The following is a 12,555-nucleotide window of genomic DNA, read 5'->3' as shown; positions in this document are numbered from 1 at the left end:
CCACGTTGGTCGGGTTGGTCTTGAACTCCCGACCTCAGGTGATCCGCATGCCTCGGCCTCCCAAGGTGCTGGGATTACAGGCGTGAGCCACCGCGCCCGGCCTCAGCTCTAGAATTTCTTGGGGATAACAATTTGTGGAAGAAGGAGCCAAGTGCTGTCTTAAATCTTCCTTTATAGAGTAAAGGCAATATTTTTCATAAATGTGTGATCAAATATACGATCAATAAAATAGCAAAGGTGTTTTTATTCCCACATTATAACTTTACACAAGATTAGATGAACTGAGGAAACATCAATCAACTGTCCCTAACAAAAAAAAAAGAGCTGATGACAAATAACTGGAGGGGGAGACACAAAGCCTCAGAGGCACCAGCGCTGAACCTCTAAAAAGTCCAGCTGGGAAAGACGGAATGAGACAGATGTTTAATCTCCCTAAATCCTCCCATACAGACACACAGACCTCCAAGGATAGCAAAACCAAAATCCAAGTCAACACCGACAACAGAACGAGGTGACAGCATATTCCTCAAGAACCCCAAACACAAGCAGATGGGGACACTGGAAGCCACAAGGTCAGCATGGCACACGGGCATAGGATGGAGGAAGCAAAGGGAAGCAGGAGCCAGGCCGAGAGCAGCAGCTGCAGGATCCACCAGGAGAACCACACAGGGGCCTGCAGGGCTGACCCAGAGGCCAGAGTGTTCTGGACCCCAAGCCCTCTCAAAACGCATTATCCAAAGCTCCCTTTTAGGCCAAATACATTGAAAAGAAACGGCTTGGAACTGAACACAAAATGTGCAGGGCACGGAAACTAGAGACAAAGGAACATGAAAGCTCATTAAAGGTGGGAGGGGAGAACAGAGCCTAGAGAGCTGAGAAAAGAAGCTGCTGTATTTTTAAAACTTCCTATAAACAACACAGGAAAGAACCCAAAACACTGAAATTAGAGAAACGATTCTAAACCAAGCCTCCCTTCTGAGCATTCAGAAAAGCAAAAATCATATAAAAATGAGCAACAGAAACTACTGAGGCCAAATATCATGCAAAAATCATGTATTTCTTAAAAGAATAAGAAGCAAAATAACATCACTGCAGACAATGAAAACATTCTAGAAACATATATCCCCCAAAAAGACGAAAACTAAAAAGAAAAAAAAAACTATACCCTGATAATTCAAAACAAACTGAAATACATTAAACACATAACACACATTAACCAGAAACCAGCATTAGAAAAACTCAGAAACAAGGTGCTAGAACTCAGAATATATTAGAAACAAAAGAAAAAGTAACTTCAGAAATGAAGATTAAACTAGAAGAACCTTAGAACAAATAAACACAATGGTGCCTTAAGAAAAATAAAATGACAAAATTTTCAAGAATAAAAAAGAAATGAAAGAGATGAAAAAAGCTCAAGAAAAAGTAGCACATAAGACAGGAAAAGAAGACCCAACATATGTATAATAGGAGATGCTAAAGATGAAAACTGGCCAGGCACAGTGGCTCATGCCTGTAATCCCAATACTTTGGGAGGCTAAGGCAGGAGGACCATTTGAGGTTGATAGCTCAAGAGCAGCCTGGGCATGTACCGAGACCCCGACTCCATAAAATATTTTTTAAATTAACTGGGTACAGTGGCACCTGCCTGTGGTCCCTGCTACTCAGGAGGCTGAGGTGGGAAAATCACTTGAGTCTGGGAGGGCAAGGCTGTGGCAAGCTGTGATCGCACCACTACACTCCACCCTGGACAACAGAACGAGACCCTGTCTCGAAAAAAGGAAAACTAAAGCAATGAAATGGAATACCAAAAACTGTAATTCAAGAAAGCTCTCCAGAAAACAGGACGGAGGGTGCTTGAAACTACTCGTTAAAATAATACACTACAACCTAGGGGGAAAAAAACAAAAACAAAACCACCAACACCAAGACACAACACCAAGATACAACACCAAGACAGAACACCAAGATACAGCCCAATAAAAACACTATTTAAAGAAAAATTTTTTAGCCATCCAAGCAAAAGACTAGGTGACTTATAACGGAAAGAAAATTAACTATCAAACTCCAACAGAAAAAAAAAAGGATTAACGTATTTAAGACACACAAGGAAAGATATGTGAGCCAAGAATTTTATATCCAGACAAAATTACTTTCAAGTATAAAGGCAGCATCCAGTCCTCAGAGAACAGTATTCCCAAAAATTCCCTCCTGAAGGCACTGGCAACAAACAAGCTTCGGAAAACCAAACCACTGGAGAGGCATTGGGAAGAGCGGCTAGCGGAGCACCCTATCTCCACGCAGGACTGAGACAGAGGAGATGAAGGCTATGTGCTAAACGCAGACACAATGTAACTGCTTGAAACTGGGAGGAATTGGGAGTACATATAAAAAACAAATGTAACAACTTTCAAAAACAAAAACCAATGTTACAATGTTCACAATGTTCAATGGCTATAAGGAGTGGTAGAGTTCTTTCTGAGCAATTTTCAAAAACTAACAAAAACAAATGTTACAATGTTCATTCAGTGGCGGTAAGAAGTGGTAGAGTTCTTTTTTTTTTTTTTGAGATGCAGTCTCACTCTGTTGCCCAGGCCAGAGTGCAGTGGCAGGATCTCGGCTCACTGAAACCTCCGCCTCCTGGGTTCAAGCGATTCTCCAGCCTCAGCCTCCCGAGTAGCTGTGATTATAGGTGCCCACCAGCACACCTGGCTACTTTTTGTATTTTAGTAGAGACGGGGTTTCCCTCTGTGGCCAGGCTGGTCTCAAACTCCCGACCTCAGGTGATTCGCCCACCTCAGCCTCCCAAAGTGCTGGGATGACAGGCCGAGCCACCGCGCCCGGCCGGTAGAGTTCTGTCTGAGGACGCCTTGCCTTGTGTGCAATTCTGTCATCCCTGATGCCCTTGTGAACAAGAAAAGCAGACTATCAACAACGGTAACAACTTCACTGGGTTGAAAGGGAAATATTTTTAAATTCATGAGTTAATAATATTATTAAGCCTTTAATTTGTTTAATGGTAATAAAAAGAAAAAATCAAGCATTTATTCTGCCTTTCTATACAAATCACGTCACTGAAAAACCACATCATAAGCAATAGAATGTTTCTCTGTATAAAAGCATTCTAACAAAAGAACAGTCATCGTTTTGCAATCCCTGATGAATTAAGAATCTAGGTAACAGAGTTACCATCAGAAAAAGAAAAACACACACTATCTGCCTCATTAATGAAGAATTCAGCACCATCTATGTGGGAGGCTCCCCTACCGAACAAACAAAAATGCTGAATCTAATTAAGCTTCTAGAATCCTAACATTTCCTAAGTGACAGGATATACAGAGGCCAGAAGAACATGCTAAACTATACCACAGAAATGCAAATAGGAAAATCAAAATCAAGACTAGGAAACTCACATCTGTCATCCCAGCACTTTGGAAGGCCAAGGCGGGTGGATCACCTGTCAGCCTGGCCAATGTGGCAAAACCCCATCTCTACTAAAAATACGAAAATTAGCAGGGTATGGTGGCACATGCCTGTAATCCCAGCTACTAAGGAGGCTGAGAAAGGAGAATCGCTTAAACCCGGGAGGCGGAGGTTGCAGTGAACTGAGACCGTGCCACTGCACTCCAGCCTGAGTGACAGAGCAAGACTCTGTCAAAAAAAAAAAAAAAAAAGACCAATCAACCTAATCAAAAATGAGCATAAGGAAATGAAAATGAATTCACAGAAAAACAAGTTATGTAAAGATAGTCAGGCCAGGCGTGGTGGCTCATGCCTGTAATCCAGCACTTTGGGAGGCTAAGGTGGGTGGATCAAGAGGTCAGGTGTTCGAGACCAGCCTAGCCAACATGGTGAAAGCCCGTCTCTACTAAAGATACAAAAAATTAGACGGGGATGGCGGCGCGTGCCTGTAATCCCAGCTACTGAGGAGGCTGAGGCAGGAGAATCGCTTGAAATGGGGAGGCAGAGGTTGCAGTGAGCTGAGATCACGCCATTGCACTCCACACTGGGTGACAGGGGGAGACTCTGTCTCAAAAAAAAAAAAAAAAGTCAATCTCGATGTGTAATCTTTTTAAAACAATTTAAACAAGACAACATTTTTCACCAATCAGATTGGCAAAAATCACAAAATATGACACACTTCGCCAGAAGATATCAGAAAACATGGCTGTTGCGCTTTTGCTGGGGGTGTAAATGGGTACAACCTCTTTGAAGGGCAATAGCTATCAAAATGCTAAATGGCCACAGCCCTTAACCTGGCCATGCCCCACACAACATTCAGCCAGCACAGACATTCACATATGTGTGCAAAGACCTACATACAAACAACAACAACAACAACAACAACAACAAAACAACGTAAGGCATTGTTTTTAGCAGCAAAAGAATGGATGTCAGCATTGCATAGCTAAGAATGGAATATACCACGCAGCTTCAGGAGTCAACAAGAGCCCCCGAAAAGCGGCTCCCAAGGTGCAGGATCCCGTGAATATCAACTGGGCAGGGCAGTGTGGACGAGGGCAGTGCAGACGACATGCTTTATTTTTAAGAAGTATGTCAGATATGCACAGAATATTTCCAGGTTAAGATACAGAAGACCTACAACAGCCTGGGGCATGGGTGAAAAGGAAATTATTTTTCACTTTTCATCCTCTAATAATATTTCCATTTTTATCCTGTGCATTTATCACTTTTTCAAAAAGAAAAAGAAGTATACTTTTAAAAAATGATCGGACAGGAAAATATGCAGATCTAAGCTGTGGGGGGAGGGTCCATTCCAACTCCACCTACGCACGCTCATGTTCTTCAAACACTGGTGCTAGGATCAACACTGGGATCTTGCTCAGCCTTCGGAGCTGCTCCAGGGAAGCAGAAACCACATAGCCTGACTGAGGGGCCCTGTCAGGCGCAACTAGCATGAAACTTATGTGGTGACACTAAACCTGCGTCCTCTGAAGAGGATCTTTCAGCTCAGAGTCGTCAGTAGTCAGCTTGAAGATCAAAGCTACATGTCATCAATACAGCCTTCTTTTTTCCAGAGTAAGAACCAGAAGCAAAGATTATTAAAGGGATAAACTAAACTTATTTTTTTTTTTTTTGAGACAGAGTTTCACTCTTGTTGCCCAGGCTGGAGTGCAATGGCACGATCTCAGCTCACCGCAACCTCTGCCTCCTGGGTTCAAGTGATCCTCCTGCCTCAGTCTCCTGAGTAGCTAAGACTACAGGTGCACACCACCATGCCCGGCTAATTTTGTATTTTTAGTAGAGATGGGGTTTCACCATGTTGGGTCAGGCTGGTCTCGAACTCCCGGCCTCAGGTGATCCACCCACCTCGGTCTCCCAAAGTGCTGGGATTATAGGGGTGAGCCACTGCACCCAGCCAACTAAATTTCCTAATGAAACCAGTAGTCTTCAGTCAAAAGCCACCCAGCCAACCTTGGCATTGGTGCATTTAAAACGTTTTGGGGTCACAGATTGCTTTCAGAACCTTTAAAAAAAAAAAGGCAAAAAAACCTGTAGAACCTTTTCTGGCCAGGCGTGGTGGCTCACGCCTGTAATCCCAGCACTTTGGGAGGCCAAGGCGGGTGGATCACCTGAGGTCGGGAGTTCGAGACCAGCCTGACCAACACGGTGAACCTGTCTTACTAAAAATACCAAAAAAAGGCCAGGCACGGTGGCTCACACCTGTAATCCCAGCACTTTGGGGGGCCAAGGCGGGCAGATCATGAGGTCGAGAGTTCGAGACCAGCCTAACCAACATGGTGAAACGCCGTCTCTACTAAAAATACAAAAATTAGCAGGGCGTGGTGGCACACGCCCTGTATTCCCAGCTACTCGGGAGGCTGAGGCAGCAGAATCACTTGAACCCAGGAGGCGGAGGCTGCAATGAGCCAAGACTGCGCCACTGCACTCCAGCCTGGGCGACAGAGTGAGACTCCATCTCAAAAAAAAAAAAAAAAATTAACTGGGTGTGGTGGGGCATGCCTGTAATCCCAGCTACTTGGGAGGCCAAGGCAGTAGAATCACTTGCACCCAGGAGGCAGAGTTTGCGGTGAGCTGAGATAGTGCCACTACACTCCAGCCTCAGTGACAGAGCGAGATCCGTCTCAAAAAAACAAATCAAAAACCAAAAAACAATAAAATAAAATAAAATGTACAATTAAATTATTATTGACGGCCGAGTGTGGTGGCTCACATTTGTAATCCCAGCACTTCGGGAGGAGAAGGTGGGTGGATCACCTGAGGTCAGAGTTGGAGAGCGGCCTGGCTAACAGGGTGAAACCCCGTCTCTACTAAAAATACAAAAAAAAAAAAAAAAAAAAAAAAAAGAACCTTTTCCAGGAAAAAGTACAGACAGACAAAACTTTGCAAAGTTTCTGAGGCTCCCCTAATCCCAGAGAGTCCTAGCTGCCGGTGCCAGTACCTGCTCTCCCCAGAGCTCACGGAAGAGCCCACGACAGCTGTGGGTGCGGGGCATCAGACACGGACTTCCCTTCCCAGCCTGTCCCACAGCAGCCCCCTGGGAAACCTCCTTCAGGGGCCCTGGCCTCTGGCCTTGTCCCTTCTTCCGTGCTCCTCCTCCCGCTGGTGCCAGGCGTGGAAGGAGGCAGAAGGAGCTGGCGCGGAGGAGCAAAGCCCTGGAAGGAAGGAGCCCAGGCCCCTCCCGTCCAGGGAGCTGCCACACCAGCCCAGGCTGCCTGCCTCAGACTTCCTCAAAGCAAAGGAAAATAAACAACTACCTGGTTCAAAACAGGGTATTCTGGAGCCCACCACGTGCAGCCAGACTAAACCCAAGGACATGCCGAGGCCCTTCCACAAACAGCCCCGGGTCCAGAGAGTCCAGGTTAAACTCCTGCCTCTCTTAAGGGGCCAGTGGAAATAGTTTTAAATGCCCAATTCAAGCTTTTTGCTAGTTTCTAAAAGCTCTGCAAGTGGCTTCAGAAAATGCTCTGAACTCACCATAAAATCCTGAATCCTAACCTCTTCCAAATGAGGACACCACACATTATTCGAGTTGTTTACTCAAAATGCCTCTGTTGCCAGGATCAAGAGTCATTTAAAATTCTGCTAACAGTAAAGATTTCAATAGAAAAAACTAGGGCAACAAGCCCAAGAAAACTGGAACACAGCAATGCCTGTGGTTGCTATTTTGGCAAATTAAATTTGCCATTTCTCAGAAGTCCTGGGGATAGTCCAGTCTTAATACAATAAAACAGCTGGACTGAGACTAATGCTCAAGCAAGCCTCTTACTCTGACGACTATTCAGAACCCTACCAAGTCCACCAAGAGATGCAGGGCTCAGGGCGCATATGGGAAAGCAGGGCCTACAGCCCAGAGTAACACCCTGAATGTACAGCAGAACAGGAGTGGTGAAGAATCCACGCCCATCCAGATTGCCAGACACCACCAAGTCATTCACATGGATGAGACTGATTTAATTACATGAACCAAAATGGAAAGATCTCCAGAATATGATAGCAAAAGGAAGGCATACAAATGGAAAGCTGCACAGCGGTGCGGATGATATGATCCCAATTCTGCTTCCTAAACATGGTGTCCACGTGTGGTCATCTGTCCAGGTGTGCCAACACATCCAAGACAGTTGGGGATGACAAATAGCAAACCTCAGGCTACCCAGAGCAGGGACGCTCCAACTGCACGAGCCCCACTCTCCTGTCCACTCCGCCCTCCTGGACTGCTGAGCTTTCCATAGGCCTTATTCCGTAGGCCTTACTTATTTATTACCTGTGAAACTGTTTCTACAACCAAGTGATGTGTCTACAGGCAAGGCCAACTACATCAAATCTTGATAAACTTTACAGAACCATCTTTAACCTGGCCTTAAATCCACTTCTCAGCCACCAAGGCATGGGGACCCACACATTCGGGCAGGGATGGGGAGAGAATCCACATCCAATCAACCTCAGGTGCGCCTGATGCTGCAAGCCCCGCCCAGCCCCGCCCAGCCCCGCCCAGCCATGCGAACGCTCCCCTACTCCTGGACCCTCTGCGCCTCGGGCTTAGTGGGTGATCCTGCTCTCCTCCCTCTCACTTCCCAAGAATGCCCACTCCTGCCTCCTCGGGCATGTGCCCCACACCCAGTCAGCACCCCTCCCTGGTCCCTCAGCATCACCCTTGCACACCCTTCCCCCACGGTGCTGCCCTCCCTCCTGCCCCTCCAGCCCCAGCCCCATTTCTCTGTTCCCTTTCAGATAAAATTCCTCAGAAGCCCCGCCTGTACTTGCGGTCTCCATTTTCAGTGCTCACATCCCCTCCAGATCCCACCCATCGGGCTGTCACTCAGTTACTCCCCCAAAACTGCTCCAGCCCAGATGCTGCCCCCATTCTCCCCACCACAGGGCCTGATGGGGCTCATTCCGGCTCCTCCCCACGCTGTCCTCCCTGCCTGGCCCCCACTCCTCTGTCTCTCTGCTGGTCCCACATCCACTTCCTGACTTGAGGATGCATGCCCAGGGCACGGCCCTGGAACCTTTGCTCAGCCAGCACTGACCCAGCGGCTCATCAGTCTGTGGCTTCAGATACATCTCCACGCCAATGGCGCCTATCACCCTGCCAGCTCAGACCTCGCACATGAACTCCAGGCCTCACACCACACCACCTACTAGGTGTCTCCCCTAAGGGGTCGTCTCAATTCTAACATGTCCAAACTGAGCCCCTGTCACCCACCCCAAACCAACCTGCTTCTTCCACACTTTCCACCTCAATTTAAGGCAACACCTACTTCCCAGATGCTCAGGCCAAAACCTCAGGCCTCCTGGGTTCTCCTCTCCTTCACCCTGATCCGGCCTCGTCTTCCCAGCCTGTCACTCCCAACCTGGACCCAGGCCGCCCCTCAGACCTGCTCACATACGGCCGTCTCACTGTCACCTGCACCTCTGCTGTGATCACGATAAAGAGCGCTCAAGGCGTCACATAAAAACACGTGCCAGGCTATGCCCCTCATCTGCTCTAAGCCCTCCGAGGGCTTCCCATCTCACGGGCCCTCTGCAGCCCCTGGGGCTCTCCTCCCCGCCACGCTCACTCGGCCCCTGCATTTGGGCCTCCCCATGCTTCTCAGGGATACACTCAGCTCAGGGTCCTACCACGGAGCTGGCCACCCCTGCACGCCTCCTGCACGCCTCCTGGACGCCTCGGCAACGGTGACGTGCACAGCAGCCTTTCCTGCTCTACTGTCTGACTTACTACACATCTGAAAGGTTTCTCTTGCTTAGTGTCTCCTGCTAGAAGGTGAGCTTCACAAGGGCAGGAATTGGCATGGCTGTGTTCTCAGCAGGGCACCGGGCCTGGCCCGCACCGCATCCAGTGAATACGTCTGTGATGAGTCCAGTGAGAACACACCACTGACGTCATTCCCCAATGCACAATGATGAATGTCAGAAATGCTATTTAAAAACCATGGATTAAGGTTTTCAAAGTGTGTTGTGCCCATGTCCTGATTTCAATAAGGACTGTGCTATAATTAAGTTACTAATCTAACTACTCAGTTCATGAATGTGGAATCAGGGTGATTGACACATCTGATGAACAGTGCCCATCCACTGTCAGCAAAGGCTAACGGTAGCTGGTCATCAGGAGAAACGGACAGCTGCAAAAGTATTTAATTTTGCTATTACTATTTCAAAAATATTGGACACCCATAAAACAAAACCACAAAGCCATTAAAAGAGGACTAAAAGGAAACCCACTGTAACTGGGCAGAAAACTTGGCTTTAACAGTCAAAGTTAAAAAACAAACTGCTATAGATTATCAGCATCACATGAAAAACAGCAGCAAGAAAAGTCAAGCCAGGCTTCCTGTATTTAACACTAGGGCTTCCTTCAACACCAGGATCTTCTCTGTCGCTACCTAAGCCACATCACATGCATCATTAGGGGTGTCACAACGTAACGGGTTTTTTCCCGTCAGTATTTTTAGGGCAGACATTCTTCATAGAGCTGTTTCTTCCATCAACCCTTAAGAAAAGTCCTAAGGCTGCATCTGATTTGGACGCAGTCATTTCCACAGGAAGTGGAACAATATAGCCCAGATGTGTCACCTCCCAGAGCGGGGCTCTGACGTGGTGTGAATCACAGCACCTACCCGTGATCAGATCCATGCAGAGCGGCCAGTCTAAAAAGATGCATTCCACAGCCATAGATACTCCTTACATGTCTTGAAGGGGCCTACCTCACTTTACAGATGGCAAAAATATGAACTGAGTATATTCCCTGCTGTAAAAAGTTAGCACAGGGCCTGGCCTGCACTGCACTTGGGAACTGAGGGTGGGGAACGCCCAGAACAATAAGCTCACAGCGCGTGCGACCAGGGAGAGAAGACGCTTGAGACAGTAAAGTGACAAGAAGGGACCACGGCCACCAAGCTCCCAGCCCATCCCCAGATCGTCCTGGCGCCCTTCTCCTCAGACGGCTTCTGTGTGGAGACTCCCAGGCCACCCGAGCTGGAATGGCAAGTCCAAAGAGCCATAAAAATTAGGACAGGAACTCCCACTTAAAGATGAGACTAAGTGGTACCTGGTAAAAAGCTAAATCTCCCGAAACGAGGAAACTGCTAAGAAATTAATCATTCCATTTAGTCAAATCCTCTCGGGATGTAAGTCTAGAAAGGAAGAAATAATGAGAAAGGCAGGATGAACTGACATGAAGAAGTCAACTTTTATTAAACTGAGACATGTGAAGAAGTCTCAGCCTACTTCTTTTGCCCGAAATCAGTCTGAAGTGGAACGTACAAGAATGAGATGGGAAATAACTGGAAAGAAAACTATAAATGACTGATCGGATGCTAGATAGGCGGGAAATCAGAAAGAAGCAAGAACACTTCTCCCGACGGCTCCCACTTACTCTTGGGGTCATTCAGGCAACACTGCTTTTTCTTTAAGATGGCCCCCCAAATGTGTGCTTGCGGGGGAAAGGGAGGAAAAATTCAAATTTGTAAGTAAGTGGTCAAATTCCAAACCTGAATATATTAGCATGCATAATTTCACCTGAGCATGCATAATTTCCAGGGACACATCTTAAGAAGCGTCTAGGCTCTAAGGCAGTAATTCTGACTTTCTGGCCTCAGGGTCCTCTTCACCATTCTAAAGCTACTGAGGGTCCTGAAGAGCTTGCACCTGTACAGATTCTACCTATCGATATTTACCATATTTGAAATTAGAACAAAAAATGTTTGAATATTTTTTAATTCATGTAAAAATCATACAAATTAACACATTACATATTAACGCTGTCTTACTCCGTTTTCTGTTGCTATAACTGAGTATCTGAGACTGGTAATTTATTACATAAAGGAAAAAAATGTGCTTTCTTTTTTTTTTTTTTTTTGAGACCAAGTCTCGCTCTGTAGCCCAGACTGGAGTGCAGTGGCATGATCTCGGCTCACTGCAACCTCCACCTCCCGGGTTCAAGTGATTCTCCTGCCTCAGCCTCCAGAGTAGCTGGGATTACAGGCGCACGCCACTGCACCAGGCTAATTTTTTGTATTTTTAGTAGAGACAGCGTTTCACCATGTTGGCAGGCTGGTCTTGAACTCCAGATCTCAGGTAATCCACCCACCTCATCCTCCCAAAGTGCTGGGATTACAGGAATGAGCCACTGCGCCCAGCCTAAGAAATGCATTTCTTATAGTTCAGGAGGCTGAGAAGTCCAAGGTCCAGGGGTCCCATCTGAGGAGTGCCTTCCTGCTGGTGGGGATATGAGAGACACCCAAACTGGCTTTTATAACAGACGCCCTGTCATGATCACTAACCCACCACGAGGAGAGCCCATTAGTCTATAAATGCACTGAACGCATTCCTGAGGGCTGAGCCCTCATGATCCAATCACCTCTTAATACTGTGACACTGGGGACCAGCTTTCAACATGAGTTTCAAAGGGGACAAACATTCATGGTACATACAAAACATGTTTTATGAAAAATAACTATAGCTTCCAAAGAACAACAAAACCTTAATGAGAAGAGGGATAATATTGTTTTACATTTTTACAAATTTCTAATGCCCGGCTTAATTGAAAACAACTAGAGTTTCCTATCTGCTTCCACCGGTGGTCTGCTCCGATATGTTGTTTTGGTCGATGCATATGACAAAAAGGCAGCCTCACCAGGGGAAGTGGCTCACGCCCGTAATCCCAGCACTTTGGGAGGCCCGGGGGGGTGCAGATTCTGTGAGTCCAGGAGTTCGAGACCAACCCGGGCAACACAGCAAAACCCTGTCTCTACAAAAAGTACGAAAAAATAAAATAAAATGCAGCCTTACAAGGAGATGCAGTTAGACAAGGGAAAAGTATCTTAATAGGCTCTTCAGATAATTATGGAGATTCCTCTTTGACACCACACCAACACGCAACAAGTGTGTTTTATTTTTCCTTAAAGGCTGTTTGCAATATGGAATGTGAACTGTATCCATGAGCTTCTGCACTTTATGGCTTTAAGATCCATTGGCTTGACTTGTACTCTAAATGGATCTTTTACCCAGGCGTGATCCCGCATCGACCATCTGGAAAATGTTGCTTCACCGAGTTAGGCAGCTCTTGCAAAT

At 46.6% G+C, this 12,555-nt stretch overlaps 1 protein-coding gene across 31 annotated transcripts in view, besides 1 other annotated feature; it reads right to left on the bottom strand.

Moving 5' to 3' along the window:
- BANP (BTG3 associated nuclear protein) overlaps nucleotides 1-12,555 on the bottom strand; it is a 128,081-nt gene that overhangs the window by 103,738 nt on the left and 11,788 nt on the right. The window contains exon 1 of one of the 31 annotated variants that reach the window (NM_001173543.1): nucleotides 3,411-3,563. The exons of the other annotated variants lie outside the window; for them this stretch is intronic. The gene's annotated coding sequence lies outside the window, so the exon portion shown is untranslated. Of the gene's footprint in view, nucleotides 1-3,410; nucleotides 3,564-12,555 lie in introns of those variants that run through there. 31 annotated transcript variants of the gene reach the window in all.
- Nucleotides 6,097-6,600: an enhancer, noted in NCBI's record as "H3K27ac-H3K4me1 hESC enhancer chr16:88000587-88001090 (GRCh37/hg19 assembly coordinates)". NCBI's record gives its function as "activates a minimal SCP1, AML or CMV promoter by ChIP-STARR-seq in naive H9 embryonic stem cells {active_cell/tissue: H9 hESC(naive)}" and the evidence as "EXISTENCE:reporter gene assay evidence [ECO:0000049][PMID:30033119]".

The sequence above is a fragment of the Homo sapiens genome, chromosome 16 (genome assembly GCF_000001405.40).
Source record: "Homo sapiens chromosome 16, GRCh38.p14 Primary Assembly".
In the NCBI taxonomy this organism is placed as follows: domain Eukaryota; kingdom Metazoa; phylum Chordata; class Mammalia; order Primates; family Hominidae; genus Homo; species Homo sapiens.
Note: the sequence above shows the minus strand (reverse complement) of the source record. Positions and strands in the feature narration are given on the sequence as shown.